Source organism: Homo sapiens, chromosome 2 (genome assembly GCF_000001405.40).
Source record: "Homo sapiens chromosome 2, GRCh38.p14 Primary Assembly".
NCBI lineage: Eukaryota > Metazoa > Chordata > Mammalia > Primates > Hominidae > Homo > Homo sapiens.
Genome location: NC_000002.12, coordinates 241394344 through 241416095, shown reverse-complemented (window position 1 = coordinate 241416095; position 21752 = coordinate 241394344). Strand labels below are relative to the sequence as shown.

At 42.5% G+C, this 21752-nt stretch overlaps 1 protein-coding gene across 12 annotated transcripts in view; it reads right to left on the bottom strand.

Moving 5' to 3' along the window:
* FARP2 (FERM, ARH/RhoGEF and pleckstrin domain protein 2) overlaps positions 1–21752 on the bottom strand; it is a 138557-nt gene that overhangs the window by 78746 nt on the left and 38059 nt on the right. For 10 of the 12 annotated variants that reach the window (XM_047446511.1, XM_011512233.1, NM_014808.4 and 7 more), the window contains 5 exons: positions 12164–12268; positions 11255–11297; positions 8481–8559; positions 4966–5063; positions 2675–2789 (listed from right to left, as the gene is read on the bottom strand). In XM_047446511.1, coding sequence (XP_047302467.1) covers positions 2675–2789; positions 4966–5063; positions 8481–8559; positions 11255–11297; positions 12164–12268 — 440 coding nt within the window. Of the gene's footprint in view, positions 1–2674; positions 2790–4965; positions 5064–8480; positions 8560–11254; positions 11298–12163; positions 12269–20438; positions 20654–21752 lie in introns of those variants that run through there. The other 2 variants (XM_047446512.1, XM_047446513.1) reach the window with 2 other exon arrangements.

Below are 21752 nucleotides of genomic sequence, written 5' to 3'. Positions count from 1 at the left end.
GAACACATATACATGCACACACGACCACACAGCCACACATGTATACACAGAACACACCCAGACACACACACACACACACACACACACACACACACACACACACACAGAACTACCCTGAGGGTCCAGTTCTTTGTTCTTCCACAGGCAGGCTTCTCGACATAAGTGCCCAAAGATGTTGTCACTGCCTCCTCACTGCACTTTCAGTGTACTTGAATCTAGAATTCACCCTCACCACTCACTGAAGCTGCTGAAGGCGATACACTGCCACACTGCCAAGCTCAGAAACCTGCTCCTGTGCCTACCTCCCCAGGCCTGTAGTCTCCACACAAGAGGCTGTGGCCACTATCCTAAAACATGCTCTCTTGGCACCTGTGCCCTTCCATGCTTCTGGCTGCTAAAGGCTCTTGTGGGTGCCTCCTCCTGCACTCAGCCTCTCAAATGTCAGTTCTTCAGGGGTTCATCCTGGGCTCTTCTCCCTTCCTGACCTGTATCTGCCCTCTGCCTAGCTGATTTCACCCACTGCACAGGTTAGCCCAGCCTACGTGCTGACAACACTCTCCCCAGCATCCCAAACCCACCCATCCACTAGGGACTGTCCTTCAGGTTGGACAGTTCGCAGCACAATGCCCAATTCTCCCTTCCTCATGTCCAGCCCCTGCTGTGTGTCTCAGCAGGGAGAGACTATCCCCAACCCTAGGAATGCAGACTGAACCAGTGACCGTTTCCTGCTGGGATGGCACACAACACTAGCAGAGGGCCCTTGGCTCCATGGGTCAAGGTCTGGATGTGACACTCAGAACAGCTGTACCTTCCTCACTACCAGCTAGAATAATGGCAACACTTGAAAGAGGCAAAGCCAAGGGTACCTGGGAGAATAGAGCAGGAGCTCTACCTGTACTGCCCTGCATGGAGGCCTCCTCAAGGTCAGGTCAGGCAAATGGATGAGAAGCACCGACTTACACACACAAGATGCCCCACACCGTCATGTCCGAGATGGAGCTCTGCACGCATGGTCTGACCGTATGTACAATGGAGTAAAACAGTGCATGCCATGATGTGGGTTTGAGGATTACACAAAAATGCTCGTAAGAGCTGTCCGTAATTGCCACTACAGCCTCTCCAGTATCAGTTGGCACTTCTACCTCCAGCCCTTGAACCCAAACTGCCCAAGCCATGCTGGAACCTCCCTCTCCTCTCTGCTTCCTTCTCCCTCCCTTCCCAGGCTGGTGCTTTGCCTGGAATGCTTCCTCCCTGGCTTTGTCCGCCTAGGTCCTCCCACGAGCCTCCTTGAGCCTGCCCTCGGCCTTCTTTCAGCTCACAGCGTATGAGCTATGCTCCCGCTACACTGCACACATTCTCATCTGTAGAAACGCATCTGTATATCTCATGACTGCCATGCTGTCGGGCACACAAAAGGCACTCCCCTGCAAACACAAGAGATCCCCCACACTGGGAGTGGTGAGGTGCACGAAATCCACACAATCTTACGGGGTAAGGTAAGATCTGTATGGGTAGGCACCTCAGTCTGTGCCGTTCAAACCAGCTCCCCAGTGCTGACAGCAGTGGTGGATGCATAGCTGGCACTCATACTTTGAAGGTGTGAAAGGGCAGCTGCCAGCAGGTCCCGGTAGAGCCTTAACGACACACATGAACATACATGATCTGACAAACAAACCTGCATCTCAACAGGATGTGTCACAAAGGCAAGGCTAAGTCCTCCTGACTCACTTTCACCAGCTGAGTGCTCCCCTTTGGTGACTAAAGCTCCCAGCCACCTGGGCCAGAGCCCAGAGCCCTTTCCCATACCGTTCTTCAATCCTTTTCCCCTTAGCTAGCACTCCTTCTCTAGGTCTCTATCACTTCCATCCAGAAAAACCCACCAGTGTCAAGTCTTAGAGAAATCAAAACAAGATGAGATGAAGGCCATGGGTGCCAGGCGATTCCCAATGCCCTGACACAGGCAGACACTGTTAGCCTCACACAGTCCCCTCCTCCTCTACCACAGCACAGTGTCTTCCCCGTAGAGGACTCTTTCTGCCACACTGCAGAGACACTGCAGCAGCTGACACCCCCCCAATAGCCACCCCATCCTGCTCAGTAGCATCCTCCTCCCCCAGACCCTGATGTCTTTTCCAGCACCTTTTTTTTTTTTTTTGAGACGGAGTTTCACTCTGGTGCCAGGCTGGAGTGTAGTGGCACGATCTTGTCTCACTGTAACCTCCACCTCCTGGGTTCAAGCGATTCTCCTGCCTCACCTCCTGAGTAGCTGGGACTACAGGTGCCTGCCATTAGCCCAGCTAATTTTTTGTATTTTTAGTAGAGATGGGGTCTCACTATGTTGGCCAGGCTGGTCTCAAACTCCTGACCTCAGGCAATCCACCTGCCTCAGCCTCCCAGGGTGCTGGGATAACAGGCATGAGCCACCGTGCCTGGCTTCTTCCAGCACCTTCTAAAGCAGCACATCGTGCAGGTGTGAAGGTGCTTCAGGCCAGGGCACCTGTGTGTCTGTGTGTCTGCCAAGCTGCCTCTGGCAGCAGCTGCACATCCTGAGGCCAGGAGCAATGGTCCTTATGTTAGAATCTTGCAGAAGTCACGACAACAGTCCTTTCTCGTTACACACTCTTTAGTCATTACTGTGGTGACAATGTGTTGACAGACAATTGTGATGACTTACACGTGCTTCTGATGGAATTCTAGTATCTTCTCAAGGCAGTGCTGCTGGCCAGGCAAATACTCGTTCACTTTGAGGTGCTCTCGGTCCAGCGTTTCATCGTAATCTCCTATTTCCGCTGAGATAGGTTAAAAGTAAGTAACTAATTTTTAAATAAACTACAAGCATTTGTATGTGTCATTGCATACATTAAAAGTAAAAAAAAATTATCCCAAATTTGTAGCAAAAGAATATATCCCTAAAAAAGCAAGATTTTTTATTTAATTTTTCCAAATATTTTATGCTGTTAAAAGGCAAATATAATGGGAAGTGAAGAGGATTTCTTGAAGAACAAAGGCCTGATTAGTAACTCCAGGGAGGCAAACATTGATGAGTTTAATGTGTTTATTATTATTTTGACACAAGGTCTCGTTCTGTTGACCAGGCTGGAGTGCAATGGTGCAATCACTACTCACTGCAGCCTCAACCTTCTGGACTCAAGCAATCTGCCCGCCTCAGCCTCCTAAGTAGCTGGGACTATAGGTAAGCACCATCATGCCCAGCTAATTTTTGTATTTTTTGTAGAGATAAGGTTTTGCCACATTGCCCAGGCTGGTCTCAAACTCCTGGACTTAAGCAATCCTCCTGCCTTGGCCTCCCAAATGTGCTGGGAATATAGGCATGAGCTACTGCACCTGGACTACTATTATTTTTAAACTACACCTTAAACCTAAATTGTCTCAAGATTATCATGATCAGGCTGAAGTATTTTATTTATTTTAGGATAATGTATTTTAAATGATTTTTTTCCTTCAGACCTTCTCAAATTTCTTGATGAATAATGTCTCTGTCTAATTTCATGTATTTTAAGGCCACAATGTCTTAATAACATAAAGTTCAATAATTTAAAGCAATATGCTTTTATTTTTAGACAATCTCATATTCACAGAGAAGTTACAAGCACAGTACAAGAGTTTTTTCTCCTTTGAGCCATTTGAGAGTGAGTTGCTAACATGTTACTTGCCATACTTCAGTATGGACTTCCTATAAACTATGACATTTGATACGGTTTGGCTGTGTTCCCACCCAAATCTCATCTTGAATTATAACTCCCACAAGTCCCACTTACTGTGGGAGGGACCCAGTGGGAGGTAACTGACTCATGGGGGCGGATCTTTTCCGTGCTGTTCTTGTAATAGTGAGACTTTCATGAGATCTGATGATTTTACAAGGGGCCATTTCCCTGTACAAGCCTCTCTCGCTGCCGCCACATCTCTATCAGCAGTGTGGAAATGGACTAATACAATATTCTTACCCGCAGCCTTGTAAAACTACCCAGATCAGGAACAGGGCCACGATCTGAGGCTCCATCCCAGATGTGGACCCTAGTCATATTTTACCAACTGCCCAATTATGTTTTTTATAGCAAAAAGATCTGGTTCAGTCATACATTGCATTCGTTGCCATGTGTCTACCTGAGAAGTCTTTCAGCCAAATGAGTAAGAACCAAAGTCACTTTGAAAACTTTTATTAATCAACACGTCCCCTGGTGGAGGATAGCAAACCCATAATAAAATTTATTATTTGAAGAAGGTATGTCTGGGGAAGGACCAAGGAAGCTGCAAATAACCTATATACTTATTAATTCCTAAAATTTTGGAACTTTCTATGTCATATTTCCTGGATTCAAATTTCAGAAACATTAGTTCTGTGCTAGCTGTGGTCCCACCTCTAGTCCAGGAGCAATGTGGGTATTTCTGTTTTTCTATTCCCATCGCTGGGGGCTCGGCAAGGTGCCAGAACCTCCTCTTACACTTCTCATGGTTTATTTTTGAAGTAACTATAATTCTTGACACAGTTCTGAACCATCTCTTGATCTGTGTGAGATACTGAAGAAATGTCTTCTTTTTCCTTCATGGCTAATGCTTTACTAATCTGAGAGGACTGTAACTTTTATCCCAGTGAGGCCCTTTCCAGGGTTTGCTCAGAGTTTGGTTTATATTCTGACTCTTAGACTGAATATGCATTGCTGGTAAAATGCACAAAGGCATAAATGAGAGACAACCCAAAAGAAGGAACGTGGCTACAGATTTTGGCCTTGGCCTGTGTTTGCTACGTGGAAACTATTTGCCTCAAGGAGTTCCACTTTACAGAAGTTAATCTGTAGCTTATAAAAAACACTGAAGTTGAAACACCTCATTCTATGGTCAGGCTCACTAACTAGGCAAATACATCAGCAACTAATTGTAGTTCTGAGTGCGGGTATATCTGTGCCATGGTCAGTGAATGCTCCCCGCTGGCGGGGAGATACTCACACTGCAGGAGATGGGACGTGAGAAGGGCCGCTGTGGTGTCAGCACAGGTCAAACGCTCTTCCAGCAGGTCTCTCTTAAGTTGCAAGGCAAACAAGTATCTAGAAGAGAGTTCAAAATAAGACAGAGATCAATTCCAAATGTTCTCTGAATGTAACATAGACATGTCTCCACAGCAAGACAGCAAATGAGCCCTGGGAAGTGGCAGTGACCCAACAGTGAGCAAAACGCAAGGCGGTCACGAAACAGCAAAGTCACAAAAGGCCTTTCATGAAACAAACAGTCACCAAGTGAAGGTCAGATGATAAACCAACTCAGCAGACTGAGTCACACACATGGGAGAGCGCAAAGGAAGTGCTGAACACACTAAGGCACTCTGATGTGAACAATAAAAAAAAGAAATTGGCCAGGGGCGATGGCTCCCGCCTGTAATCCCAGCACTTTGGGAGGCTGGGGCGGGTGGATCACCTGAGGTCAGGAGTTCGAGACCAGCCTGACCAACACTGTGAAACCCTGTCTCTAAAAAAAGTGCAAAAACCACCTGGGCGTGGTGTGCACACCTGTAATCCCAGCTACTTGGGAGGCTGAGGCAGGAGAATCGCCTGAACCCGGATGCAGAGGTTGCAGTGAGCTGAGATCATGCCACTGCACTCCATGTTAGGCAACAAGAGCGAAACTCTGTCTCGAAAAAAAAAAAAAAGAAAGAAATTAGCCTTTTCAGGCATACCATCTACCCACATATAATTACACATCTGCAGCCATACCTTCAAGGAGGAAGGTCACAAATTCACATTACTTCTGTTAGTCACATAAAACTGCACTCACAGTTTTGGATGAAATAGGAGAAATATCCAATGAAAACACAGCTTAAAGCATGGCTGTGAAATTTTTTAACGGATTGATAATATCTGGTCTTGGCTAGGATCTGAGAAACAGGCACTTTGGAATACCATTAGTGAGAATGTAATGAGAGAAGGCAATTGAAAATATTTATATGTTCATTTATTCCATCAGCAAATAATTACTGAGCGTGAATTACGTTCTAGGTACTGTTCTGGGAGCTGGAAATGCAAAGGTAAGCAAGACCAACCCCCTGTCCCTAGTGGAATTCATGCCCCAGTGCACAATATTAAAATTTACCACATTCTCTTAAAATTCAGGATGTACATACCCTTTAACACAGCAATTCCATTTCTACAAACTTTCCTAGACTAATATTCCCATAGTTCACAAAGGTATGTGAACAATGTTTCTCTGCAGCATTATAACAGAGAAATATTGGAAATATGGATGAATATGAGAATGATGAAATTATGTTACAGCCTAATTTAGTATATTTTTATATACGATATGGAAAAATGTCCACAGCATGCTTAATAAGTGGGGGGAAAAATCAACCTACAGTTCAATACGTATCATTTGATATTGTTTTATAACATTTGTAATTTCTTTAAAGTTCTGATATCTATGTGTTTATTGCACATCTATGCTTTCATCTGAAAGATACGTACTTATGCGGAGAATAAGGTGCTGAGTAAATGGAGAACTTTTACTTTTTACTTATCTTTGTTTACTTATTTTTTTTGAGACAGGCTCTCACTCTATTGCCCAGGCTGGAGTGCAGTGGCGCTACCACAGCTCACTGCAGCCTCAACCTCCTGGGCTCAAGTGATACTCCTGCCTCAGCCTCCAGAGTAGCTGGACTACAGGTGCATGCCACCATGCCTGGCTAATTTTTTGATATTTTGTAGAGATGAGGTCTCCCCATGTTGCCTAGGCTGGTCTTGAACTCCTGAGCTCAACTGATCCCCCCACCTTGGCGTCCTGAAGTGCTGGAATTACAGGTGTGAGCCGTTGCACCTGGCCCTTAGCTTTATTTGGAAAAAAAATTCTTTTACCACAAACATGTACATTTTTATAAACAGAAAAAAGAATCCTCCACATAAATATGGGGGAGAAGGGAGTAACTATAATACTGAGTTATCAGCATGAGTCCTAGAACTTGAGACCCAGGATCCTGAATGAGGGGACACTTTGTTATCCATCATTTTCAGGTATCTATCTATCTATCTATCTATCTATCTATCTATCTATCATCTATCTATCTATCTATCTCTATTTAAAAGTGATTCCCTCAAAAGAGACTTTTTTTTTGGTAAATGTCAGGCATTTAATACACTATTAAGATCTATGGTCACTCATAAAAATACTTTTTGCCATCTTTGGAGTTTCCTAAACCTTTAAAAATAAGAGGGTGAACTAATGTGGTCTCTCCATTTCCTTGCAGCTGACATTCTACGATTTTGTGTTGCTAAAATGATATGCAGAAACCTTTAAAAGAGAGTTCATAAGACATCTGATTCATTTATGAGTACACTTTTAGCCAGAAGGCAAAAAAGTTATTGATACCACTACAACATCATAGTTCTCTTTTATATCTAATTTTGGGTTTTCAGTTGCTTTTTAGGTTATTCCTCTATTCTTCATAATATAATTGATATGTGAACAAATACAAAAAATACAAAGAAAAACCTTCCATAACCTTACTGTCCAGATGAAACAATTGTTAATATTTTCTTTTTTTTTTTTTTTGAGACAGAGTTTCGCTCTTGTTGCCCAGGCTGGACTGAAATGCCAATCTCGGCTCACTGCAACCTCTGCCTCCTGGATTCAACAGATTCTCCTGCCTCAGCCTCCCAATTAGCTGGGATTAAAGATGCCTGCCACCACGCCTGGATAATTTTCTTTTCTTTTTTTTTTTTGAGACGGAGTCTCGCTCTGTCACCCAGGCTAGAGTGCAGTGATGTGATCTTGACTCACTGCAAACTCCGCCTCTCGGGTTCATGCCACTCTCCTGCCTCAGCCTCCTGAGTAGCTGGGACTACAGGTGCCCGCCACCATGCCCGGCTTATTTTTTGTATTTTTAGTGGAGACGGGGTTTCAAAACTGTGTTAGCCAGGATGGTCTCGATCTCCTGACCTCGTGATCTGCCCGCCTTGGCCTCCCAAAATGCTGGGATTACAGGCGTGAGCCATTGCACCCTGCCATCTTTAGATCATTCCTATAAAGAATTGATCTTTAATTCAAAATAGTAGCACAAAAGAAGTGACCCAAAGTATTTCTGCTCCATAAATCCATAAGAACTAACACACTGGGTACTTCTACCAATTAAGTATATTTTATTGATAAATAAGTATATATGAGCAAAATCCCTGAGAACCTTATGAACATGCATAAATCTATGTTCATTTGGAAAATGTAAGTTCAACATGACCCTAACATCCCATTCCATTTTTTATTTTCAAATTTGTACTGTAAACCTTACACTGAAGTCTTATTCACATGTGTTTGTGCAAGGGTCAACTGCCAACATGCTTCTGTTAACCACTCTACACTCATGGTCACTTTTCTGTGTATATCAGGCTTATTCATTCTTTCAATGAGCCAGGTGCTGTGGGAGATAACAGGTGAATACAAGATTCCTGCTGACAACAGCTTCAGCTCTGTGAGCTCTTTACCTTGTATATTCTTCTTGTAGCTGACCAGGATCAGGTGGAAAAAATTTTACAGCTAGGCGAAGCACCACATTCTTTGGCCCTATAACAAAAAAATTTAAACTTCACAAATAAGGCCGATCTTTGCATTTATTCTCTTTTCATATATTACTGTATAACTGAGGTCATGCTTCCAAGTGGACTGTTACAGCAAATCTTTTCAAATAATATGATATTAAGAAATTTCTGCCCAGGTGTGGTGGTGTGTGCCTGTAATCCCACCCCTTTGGGAGGCTGAGGTGAAAGGATGGCTTGAGGCCAGCAGTCTGAGGTTGCAGTGTGCTACAACTGCACCACTGCACTCCAGCCTGGGCAGCAGGGTGAGACCCTGTCTCCGAACAAAAGAAAAAACAAAGAAGCATTTCCTGTATATGAATTTATGAGTCCCAAGTACCAATCACATATATATATAGAATTTTAAAATCTTTTGCATTCAGCAGGGATTACTCAAGGAAGCCTTAAAAACAAGTAGGGCTGGGCGCGGTGGCTCACGCCTGTAATCCCAGCACTTTGGGAGGCTGAGGGGGGCGGATCACAAGGTCAGGAGATCGAGACCATCCTGGCCAACACAGTGAAACCCCGTCTCTATTAAAAATACAAAAAAATTAGCCGGGCGTGGTGGCGGGTGACTGTAGTCCCAGCTACTCCAGAGGCTGAGGCAGGACAATGGCGTGAACCCGGGAGGCGGGGATTGCAGTGAGCCGCGATCGTGCCACTGCACTCCAGTCTGGGCGACAGAGCGAGACTCCGTCTCAAAAAATAAATAAATAAATAAATAAAAACAAGTAGGAAATTGCACATTAAAAAATTTAAATAGGCTGGGTGCAGTGGCTCACATCTGTAATCCCAGCACTTTGGGAGGCGGAGGCTGGTGGATCACTTGAACCCAGGAGTTTCAGACCAGCCTGCGCAACATGGTGAAATCCCATCTCTACCCGCCCCTCTCCCCCCCAAAAAAACCCCAAATTAGCCAGATATGGTGGCGCATGCCTGAAGTTCCAGCTACTTGGGAGGCCAAGGTGGGAGGACTGGTGGAGCCCAGGAGGCAGAGGCTGCACTGAGCTGAGATCACACCACTGCACTCCAGGCTGGGTGACAGAACGAGATTGCCCACCCCTCCACACACAAAAACATGCGCGTGCTCTCTCTCTCTCTCTCTATATATATACACACAGACATATATATACCCACACATACATATATATATATATAAAGAGAGAGAGAGAGACATTTTTTCCCCAGTTTATGTTTTTGTTTTGTTTTGGTTTTTTTGAGACAGAGTCTCTCTCTGTCGCCCAGGCTGGAGTGCAGTGACGTGATCTCGGCTCACTGCAAGCTCCGCCTTCCAGGTTCATGCCATTCTCCTGCCCCAGCCTCCTGAGTAGCTGGGACTACAGGCGCCCCCCACCATGCCCCTACACCCGGCTAATTTATATTTTTAGTAGAGGCGGAGTTTCACCATGTTAGCCAGGATGGTCTCGATCTCCTGACCTTGTGATCTGCCCACCTTGGCCTCCCAAAGTGCTGGGATTACAGGCGTGAGCCACCGTGCCCGGCCCCCAGTTTATGTTTTAGGGAAAAAAATGATAAATGAAAAAGTTTTTTTTAAAAAAAAGTTAATGTGTTTACATCTACTTTTTTTTTCTCAGATGCAGTCTCAATCTGTTGCCCAGGCTGGAGTGCAGTGGTGTCATCTTGGCTCACTGCAACCTCCGCCTTCCAGGCTCAAGTGATTCTCCTGCCTCAGCCTCCTGAGTAGCTGAGATTATAGGCATGCGCCATCACGCCTAGCTAATTTTTGTATTTTTAGTAGAGACAGGGTTTCACCATGTTGGCGAGGCTGGTCTCGAACTCCTGACCTCAGGTGATCTGCCCGCTTGGGCCTCCCAAATTGCTAAGATTACAGGCATGAGCCCCACACCGGGCCAGTATTATTAATAGTAATAAAAACACATTATTTTTGAAATCTGATTACTGTAAAGGTACATTATCTTAGTTTATTGGTATAAAATAGTTATTTTTTCTTTCCTCAGAGATCCTTGTTCTGATATAATGAAGTTATTTCTACACGTTTTTCTTCAATTTATAATAGTAATACAAAAAATTATGGGTGACTCAGACAACTATAGACTTCATCTGACACAATTACAGAAGAACTGAGAAGTGCTACTACATGCCTTAGTTTAAAAAATTTAATAAGTAGATGAACGAAAATAATTATCTTGAGACTGAGGTGGGAAGACAGCTTGAACCCAGGAGGTTGAGGCTGCAGAGAACTGTGTTCACACCACTACACTCCAGCCTGGGCAACAAATAGCGAGACCCTGTCTCAAAAATAATAATATAATTGTTATTATTATATTCACAATTACAATTATGTTTATAACTGTAAAACAGTATCAACTATTTTATTAAAAGCTACTTAAAAGAAGAATCTCAATGTCTTTTCATAATCAAGGGAGAAACTGCAGTTATTTTTGCATATTGGCCAAAAATTAAGACGATATCAAACAGCATATGCTCTTATTTCCGAATGTGAAGCAAGTCACCTAGAATCTTCTGAGTTAAAATTACTAAAACTAAACAGCAAAATGACTTCCAAGTTTGTCCGCTATTGGTGATTACTTCTTGCTAACCATACACGGTGGTGAGAATGAACAGTTGAACATGCCTTTTAAACATTCCAGGACAACACATCTTAAACAAACAGATTTTAAAGAGTCAAACCAAGGACTTACTTCGTATTTGCCTAATGATGGGTTTCATAGGTTCAAGCCAAATCTAAAGAAGAGTTAACAGAAGAAATCCAATCTATTAAATAATGTCTCTATTTAACAAGTATGCTATAAAAACAAAAATGGTTATAATAAGATAAATTTTTATGTCAGGAAAATTTTGACTCTACCCCCCCTCTTAAAGGTTGAATCCTGATAAAACAAACTGTACAAGAAGGACAGCAATGCCTGCTTTGGGAAGCATGGGAAGACGTTAAAATTGCTATATGATACTGGGATACCTCTATTCAGTTGCTGCTATGCGCAGAATGGGTCCCAATAATTATTTGTGGGAATTTGTTAACACCAAACAAATATTTGGTACTACTGCATTTGTGAACAAACTGATGAGCGGGCTTCTGCAAAAAAGAGGTACGTCATGTCACCAGAACAGGAGACTTGGATAAATCTGGTCGCACTGCCAAGGGTATCTGAAAGGCTGGACAGAACTTAATAACGCTGACATGCTTTTTGAACTAAAGGGTTGATGTATGGTTCTTTAAAACAGTTCTATCTATAAATATTAAAACTCCACACTTTTTAAGGTTGCATCTATTAAGTAAAATGAGGCATAACTGGTTAAGTTTGCTACAAGTCCACTTTCGAAATGATTTTCATACAGGATGTATTAGAGGTTGCTTTTATACCTTTTAAGAGAGTTTCCTCAGCACATGTGCTAACAAACAGAACACATTTAGGGAGAGTGTGAATTCAGGCTTGGATTAAAGGCAGACATATTCTCTACAGCTAACAAGAATATATTTTAATAGCAAAAACATTTAATGCTGATGATGTGGCAATGATGAAAGATCTTGCGGCTGTCATCACAGCAGGCCCAAAGGCTCCACGCCTGGGCACGTCATAAGCACTTACCCAGTAGGACTGAGTATTTTGAAACTCCATCCCGAAGTAGTCACATTCTACCAGGTTTAAACGCTTCCACACTTGTGTCAGTAATACCTGGCCATCGCATTTAGGCTGTGCAGAGAGAGATGGGAAAAATAACAAGGATTGAAAGACTAAACAGCAAGGGTTTATGAAAACTGTGCATAAAACTACTTTCCCACACATAAAATCACTTTGTCTTCCAGTGTATAACTAAGATTTATAAACTATATATAAAAAAAAAAGTCTGAAGCATTTGTGCTCAGAAACTGGCAACAAAATAAATAAAGCTAAAAAATTCCTTCCATTTTACATTTAGTGTGTTTTCAGTCCTATTTCTTTGTAACTTTAAGCTATAGAAACCATTTCTAGTTTTGGTAAATATTTTATCAAATAATTTCGATATTTACACCAGGTGCGGTGGCTCACGCCTATAATACCAGCAATTTGAGGCTGAGGTGGGTGGATTGCTTGAGCCCAGGAGTTTGAGACCAACCTAGGCAATACAGTGACACCTCACCTCTACCCAAATTAAAAAATTAGCCGAGCACAGCGGTGCCCACCTGTATTCCCAGCTACTCAGGTGGCTGAGGTGTGAGGATTGCTTGAACTTGCAAGAAGGAGGCTGCAGTGAGCCATGATCGTGCCACTGCACTCCAGCCTGGGTGACAGAGTGAGACTTTGTCTCAAAAAAAAAGTAATTTTAATATTTACTAAAAAGCTAAAGTCTTAAGAGTCTTTATTTATATAAGATCCCAGTAAATAATTATTTGGTCAATCGGAAATTACAAAGAGAAAAAAAATATTATTTGGTAGCATTTCACATCAATGAGAAGAACTGTTCATAAAGGAGGTGGGGCAACGGACTCTCCCATTAAGGAAAAGAATGGGCTGAGCATGGTGGGATCACGCCTGTAATCCCAGCACTTTGTGGGGCTGAGGCAGGAGAATTTCTTGAGTACAGGAGTTCAGGATAAGCCTGGGCAACATGGCAAAACACTGTCTCTACAAAAAAAAAAAAAAAAAAAAAAAAAAAAAAATATATATATATATATATATATATATATATATATATATATATATAAATTAGCTGGGTGTAGTGGCGTGCACCTGTAGTCCCAGCTAACTCAGGAGGCTGAGGTGGGAGGATCACCTGAGCCCAGGAGGCAGAGGTTGCAGTGAGTTGAGATTGTGCCACTGCATTCCACCTTGGGTGACAGAGTAAGACCCTGTTTCAAAAAACAGAAGAAGAAAAATGGAAATAGAGTTTTATTGTACATTACTCACAAAAATAAATTCCAGTGGACCTAAAGACCAGAATCAAACAGAGAAGAATCTCTATAATCTTGGGAAAGGTAAAGTCTTCCTAAGCATAGCAAAAAGGAAAGATGGACAGACTTGACTTAAATAAAAGTGAAAAACATCTGAACAGAAACACATTTAACAAAGTTATCTAGAATCACAATGGAAAAAGTTACAATGTTTTATTTTGCTCTTATTAGATGAAGATGTACAAATGGCTACTATGCATTTAAAAAGATACTAAATTTCTTTAATAATAAAACAGTAAGATATTTTTCACCCATCAAAGAGGGTTAGAATGATGATGCCAATATTGGTGTGTCTGTGAGAAACAGCCACTTTCACAGAGTGCTGGGAAGAATGTAAGTTCATATGACCTGATAATTTGAAAACACCTTTGAAAATTTAAAGTGTGCATTTACCTTTGCCCAGTAATTCTACTTCTAGAACTTTTTCCTACAGATACTTTCATACAACTGTACAGACCTAAACATGTTAAGGACAAATTCAGTAAAGAATTGGTAAAATAGGCCGGGCACGGTGGTTCATGCCTGTAATCCTAGCACTTTGGGAGGCTGAGGTGGGTGGATCACCTGAGCTCAGGAGTTCGAGACCAGCCTAGCCAACATGGCAAAACCTTGTCTCTACTAAAAATACAAAAATTGGCCGGGTATGGTGGTGCACGCCTGTAATCCCAGATACTCAGGAGGCTGAGGCGGGAGAATAGCTTGAACCCGGGAGGCGGATGTTGCAGTAAGCCGTGAGCCAAGATTGCGCCATTGCACTCCAGCCTGGGCGACGAGCGAAACTCCGTCTCAAAAAAAAAAAGAATTGGTAAAATAAATAATGACATATCCATAATGGACAACTATGCAACCCTTAAAAAGAACACAGAACTCTCTATTGTGTTATCATTGAAAAAAGTCTACAACACATAGTTTAATTAAGAAAAAAATAAAAGGGACTCTGGGCATGGTAGCTCACGCCTGTGAACTCAGCAACCTGAGGGAGGAGGATTGCTTGAGGCCTGGAGTTCAAGATCAGACGGCACAACAGAGACCCTGTCTCTACAAAAGATAAAAATTAAAAGGAAAAAGAAAAAAAGGCCTCCATTTCTATACAATGTATAAAACGATTCCATTTTATTAAAAACACATATGCCCCATGGATACATTTATATGTAATAAAAATAAGTTTGGAAAGCTGTTCACTAAATCTTTAAAAGTAACCATCATTAAAGAACTAAGCAGAGGTGGAGGTGGGGCAAGAGCATTCTTACTTCTTCACTTCTATAACATCTCAATTTTTAACCAATAGGCATATATCATCTTCACAATTAATAAACAATATGTGCAAACTGGGGGAGGCAAATCTCATTGTTCCAAAGGACATTATGGCCCTTGAGGTTTAGTCACCAGATTCTCACTGTGTAAGAAATAAAACCTTGCAAATCCATTGTAACAAAGCAGCATACGGAATGAAAGTACAAGGAACGCCTCTTTAAAATGGAAAGGTGAGCTACGAAGTGACCTGACATTGTACATACAATTTCTAAAGAACAAAAGGGCAAATCTGTGTTGAACTTGCTCTGACATAATCTCTTAGGGCCTTCTCCAGTAAGAACTTACTCTGATGCCTGTGGGCATCTGGGAGGAGGCATGCCAGCGCTCCACATGTGGTCCATCAGGATGGGGAGAATGCAGCCAGACCAGGGTTTCTGAGACTGTTAACTAGTCAGAAATTATGAACCGTGGAGTATGCTGCACTAACTCACTGTGGGCCCAAACAACCCTATGAAGTTCTTTCAAAGCCATACTGTCTGTCCACACTTCCATCCAGGATCACCAGGACAGTCCTCCTCATGACTCTCCCTGAGTCAGTACTTGGGGTGGGGAGGCTACATACAACCAAGTCCCTCACCCTGATACAGCCTCACACTACCTGGCTTCACCTGAGTGCAGGGATAATGACATGCCCAGGCTATTCCCTTAGAGAAGAATTCTCTCTCACTTCCCTTCTATCAGTCTCCAGTGAATGCTTTGAGAATCTGATAAAAAGTCAGCTCATTTGTGGTCTCTCTTCATCCAGTCAATTCTACCTAATTACACACCAGTTGGTACTCGACTCTAGAACTGCCCTTTGGCATTGCTGCTGACTGTGACCCGTTTATTTGTTTGGGTGTGTTCCTCCTACCAGATGGCAAGTTTAAAGGGCAAGGACTGCACCTTCTCCATCCTAGTAGCTCCAGCTCTGGCTCACAGGAGAGGCACCACACACGGCCAGATTCCCGGACTGTCCACCACTGCTCCTGATTCTGACGGCTGTTGTGGGAGCTTGAGTGTGCACTTCAGGTGGCACAGAGAATATGAAATTCTCTTAGCTGTACCCTTTTTCAACTACCTGGCTGCCCCTGTGAGTCAATGGGGAGGTCAGGGTTCCCCGTCCTACCTGAGCCCCTGCACTGCCTAGAGTAGTGCAGCCAGAGTGTGCTCCAGGAGCCCTGCCTGACTACACTAATGAAGGCGATAGACACTAACCACGCAGGTGCAAGCACATTCACAAGGCACCTGTTAACCAGCAATGTCCAACACCCAGGACAGGGTTTGTAAATACGGGCACAAAAATTCACAGTTATATGGGTATTTGTATATATACACACAAACAAACATATGTATGTGTGTTTAACCTTCAGTACAGGGAGGATGATCTTTTCATGAATGGTGCCAGGGAAACTGCATATCCATACAGGTGAAAATAAGCACTGACTCCAACCTCACACCATGCACAAAATTAATTCAATATGAATCACGGAAAGGCACAACAATAAAGCTTGGGGTAGGCAAATATTTCTCAAACAGGACACAAAAAACACTAGCTCCCCCACCCCCAAAAGACTGATATCGACTACCTGAATATTACAACCTTCTGTATATCAAAAGACACTGTTAAGATAGGAAAAAGGCAAGCCACAAAATAGAAGATAGTTGCAATACAAAAACCCAACAAAGAGGCTGGGTGTGGTGGCTCATGCCTGTAATCCCAGCACTTTGGGAGGCCGAGGCAGATGGATCATGTGAGGTCAGGAGTTTGAGATCAGCCTGACTAAAAATACAAAACTTTCACTACTCTCTACTAAAAACACAAAAATTAGCCGGGTGTGGCGGCGTGTGCCTGTAGTTCCAGCTACTTGGGAGGCTGAGACAGGAGAATTGCTTGAACCTGGGAGTGGAGGTTGCAGTAAGCTGGGATCATGCCACTGCACTCCAGCCTGTGCGAGAGAGCTAGACTCCGTCTCAAAAACAAACAAACAAACCCAACAAAGGTCTTGTAGTCAACATATATAAAGATCTACAAATCATAAGGAAAAACCAGACAACCCAATTAATGACAAATGGGCCGAAAGACTTAAATAGGCACTTCACAAAAGAGGATATTCAAATGTCCAATAAACAACAAGAAAAGTTGGACAATATTACATCAAGGAAATGCACACTAAAACCACAATAAGATACCACTAGACCCTCACCAGAATAGCTGAGAATATAAAAATGGATAATCCTAATGTTGGCAAGAAAAGTAGAACATCTGGAGTCTCAAACACTGTAAATTTGTATTATCTCTTTGGAAAACTGACAGTATCTACTAAAGGTATACAGAAGTATACCCTATAACCTAGCAATTCCAGTCCGGGGTATAAACCCAACAGAAATATCTGTTTATAGAGACCTAAAGACAAATTCAAGAATGTCTGGTTGGATGCGGTGGCTCACGCCTGTAATCCTAGCACTTTGGGAAGCCGAGGCAGGCAGATCACCTGAGGTCAGGAGTTCAAGACCAGCCTGATCAACATGGTGAAACCCCATCTCTATTAAAAATACAAAAATTAGCCGGGCGTGGTGGCACAGCCTGTAATCCCAGCTACTTGGGAGGCTGAGGCAGGAGAGTTGCCTGAACCTGGGAGGCAGAGGTTGCAGTGAGCCAAGATTGCACCACTGCACTCCAGCCTGGGAGACAAAGCAAGACTCTGTCTCAAAAAAAAAAAAAAAGAATGTTCACAGAAGCTTTACTCATAGGAGCTCAAAACTGGAAACTACCAAAATGTCAATTAAACAGCAGAATGGATAAACAGTGATTTGTTTTTACAATGGAATACTACCCAGCAACGAACAAACAAGCAAACCACAGCTATACCAACAACACTGATAATTTTCACATAGTACATATTGTATTCATGTACCTGATAAATATATACATACTTAAATGAACCTGAAGATCTGGCAAAACTAATTTATAATGCTAAAGATCAAAACACTGGCTACTTTTGGGGGTCATAACTGAGACAGGCACAGGGAGCCTGTTCTACTCCATTCTCTGGGTGGGGATACATAAGTGTATACATATGAAAAATTATCAAGCTGCACACATAAGACACATGCACTTTCTTATGTAAGTTATATTTCAATAAGAATGTAATTAAAAGGAAAAAAGGGCCAGGCATGGTGGCTCACGCCTGTAATCCCAGCACTTTGGGAGGCCGAGGCGGGCGGATCACGAGGTCAGGAGATCGAGACCATCCTGGCTAACATGGTGAAACCCCATCTCTACTAAAAATGCAAAAAAAATTAGCCGGGCATGGTGGCAGGCGCCTGTAGTCCCAGCTACTTGGGAGGCTGAGGTAGGAGAATGGTGTGAACCTGGGAGGTGGAGGTTGCAGTGAGCCAAGATCACGCCACTGCACTCCAGCCTGGGCGACAGAGCGAGACTGTCTCAAAAAAAAAAAAAAAAAAGGAAAAAAGGTTTAAAAAACCTTTGGAGTTCATGAAAATTGATCTTTCACATTTTATAATAATCCTCTCTACAAAAGTCTCTGAGCTGTGAACTTCGCCTCTGCTTGATACACCAAGAACCTACAACTCAATGAAGCAGCTGATTCTACCGCTGGACAGTTCTGCTTGAAAATAATTCCTAGCCTTTCGTCTAAATGTCTCTCCAACCTCTACCTCCCTAAATCCTCACCTGATCAATCTCTTCTGGACACAGTTCAGCTTACCAAGGTCTCTTTTAAAATGGTCACGCAGAACAGAATACATATCACAGAAATTACCCAAAAAAAGACAAGTTTGGTACAGTGTCTACACTATGAAGTTTGATCACTTAACATAGATCACTGTATGCAAGTTAAGTTATTCAGAGAACAAAACTTTATACTTCATGAGAACAAATTTTCTAAGGGGACTACACCAAAACACACATCAATCTAGTTTATTTATTTATTTTTATTATTATTATACTTTAAGTTTTAGGGTACATGTGCACAATGTGCAGGTTAGTTACATATGTATACATGTGCCATGCTGGTGTGCAGCACCCATCAACTCGTCATTTAGCACTAGGTATATCTCCTAATGCTATCCCTCCTCCCTCCCCTCGCCGCACAACAGTCCCCAGAGTGTGATGTTCCCCTTCCTGTGTCCACGTGTTCTCACTGTTCAATTCCCATCTATGAGTGAGAACATGCGGTGTTTGGTTTTTTGTCCTTGAGATAGTTTACTGAGAATGATGATTTCCAATTTCACCCATGTCCCTACAAAGGACATGAACTCATCATTTTTTATGGCTGCATAGTATTCCATGCTGTATATGTGCCACATTTTCTTAATCCAGTCTATCATTGTTGGACATTTGGGTTGGTTCCAAGTCTTTGCCATTGTGAATAGTGCCGCAAGAAACACACGTGTGCATGTGTCTTTATAGCAGCATGATTTATAGTCCTTTGGGTATATACCCAGTAATGGGATGGCTGGGTCAAATGGTATTTCTAGTTCTAGATCCCTGAGGAATCGCCACACTGACTTCCACAATGGTTGAACTAGTTTACAGTCCCACCAACAGTGTAAAAGCGTTCCTATTTCTCCACATCCTCTCCAGCACCTGTTGCTCCCTGACTTTTTAATGATCGCCATTCTAACTGGTGTGAGATGGTATCTCATTGTGGTTTTGATTTGCATTTCTCTGATGGCCAGTGATGATGAGCATTTTTTCATGTGTTTGTTGGCTGCATAAATGTCTTCTTTTGAGAAGTGTCTGTTCATGTCCTTCACCCACTTTTTGATGGGGTTGTTTGATTTTTCTTGTAAATTTGTTTGAGTTCATTGTAGATTCTGGATATTAGCCCTTTGTCAGATGAGTAGGTTGTGAAAATTTTCTCCCATTTTGTAGGTTGCCTGTTCACTCTGATGGTAGTTTCTTTTGCTGTGCAGAAGCTCTTTAGTTTAATTAGATCCCATTTGTCAATTTTGGCTTTTGTTGCTATTGCTTTTGGTGTTTTAGAAATGAAGTCCTTGCCCATGCCTATGTCCTGAATGGTAATGCCTAGGTTTTCTTCTAGGGTTTTTATGGTTTTAGGTCTAACGTTTAAGTCTTTAATCCATCTTGAATTAATTTTTGTATAAGGTGTAAGGAAGGGATCCAGTTTCAGCTTTCTACATATGGCTAGCCAGTTTTCCCAGCACCATTTATTAAACAGGGAATCCTTTCCCCATTGCTTGTTTTTCTCAGGTTTGTCAAAGATCAGATAGTTGTATCATCACTCTAGTTTAATTTTTTAATATATCATTTTTAAAGTACTAAACATAAAAATAGATAATTTGTAGGCCATATGTTTCAGGAGGGCAGAAACCATATTATGAACTTTGATCAATAATTAGATCACCACACTCTTGGAGACTTTCAACAGAAAGAATTATCCCTGAGGACAGAATCCCAGGTAGTTCCTGATACTTCAACTGAAATTATTGGAAAACAAACAAACAAACAAACAACAACAACAAAAAAACAACTGTCAGGAGAGCCCTTTTTTCCCCCCACATAGTAGGCACTCAGATGTCTATTAATGAAAAAACAAATCACTTCATAACTGGAAGAAACATTTCTGTTATGACCATAAATACTGAAGTCCAACCTGACATAAGTTATTAAAAGGTGGGCAATTCAACATGACCAGAAGTAGCAGGCAGTGTGTGAGGTACAATGCAGGCCACAAAGAAAGGCTCTGCAAACCAGCCAGGTGACCACAGGGATCTGGGCCATTCTTGAGCTTCTCTGCAATGGCATAAATGCATGGTTTCCAAGGATGTCAAGAAATCTGGGAAGAGGCTGACCTGTTATTTTTCAAACCTAAAGAAGACCAAAATAGAAAAAACAGATTTAATTTGAATAGCTAAATGTAAGGAAGAATTGATGGTCAAAATGATAAATATAAAATAAGGTATAGAGATATATTTTTAGCTCTTTGAACTTTTTGGTATATTGTATAATCATCTCTAAAACAGTACCAACAGCCATTAAGCCAAGGGTCAGTCATCCTCTGCTCTAAGTAGAAGAGGAGCAGATATTCTCCAGGCCCTTTGTGGCTCCTGAGTTGATCACAAGGAACAGGTTTCCTCACACCGTCCTAAGGGCAGAGGCTTTGGAGTAGGAATCCTGGTTTCCACTTGGTGGGTATGCTTAGGCTCGGCTTCCTCAATTGAAGAACAACACAACTCTTACCCTGAATGGGTTTTATGGGAGTGTAATAAGGTAGCACAGGAAAGCCGCTGAGCACCATGCCTGGCACACGGCCTCTCCAAGTCCAATACTGCTGCTCGCTGTCTGCCCACACAGAACAGTGTGAGCATCACCAGAAAACATCACACACAGCGAGGGCTCATGCCCCTCCTGAGTAGGGAGTAGGGTTCATTCGGGACAGGTCCTCAAGCGTGCAAAACAGCTTCTTAATAAGGTCTACAAAAAGTAAGACCACAGATGAGAGGGAGAGCCCTTTGATTCCATGATGGGTGCATGTTACTCAACACAGCATCCAATAATTTCTTTTTCCTGCCAACATGTAAAACATATTTTAAAAATCAAAATATTTTCCATAATGTACTTTAAAGAAACCAAACTTTTTTCAAGAATTCTTGCCAAAGTAATTTTCCACAGGTTCACTCTCCATAATTTGTATAGATGCCTTACGACCTGGACAGTAGGTCATAAAGTGTCATAATCAGTTCTATTTTCAGTGTCACTTGTATCAGTCACATGTCTTTTTTTTTTTTTTTTTGAGATGGAGTCTCGCACTGTCACCCAGGCTGGAGTGCAGTGGCGCGATCTCGGCTCACTACAAGCTCCGCCTCCTGGATTCATGCCATTCTCCTGCCTCAGCCTCCTGAGTAGCTGGGACTACAGGTGCCCGCCATCACGCCCAGCTATTTTTTTGTATTTTTAGTAGAGATGG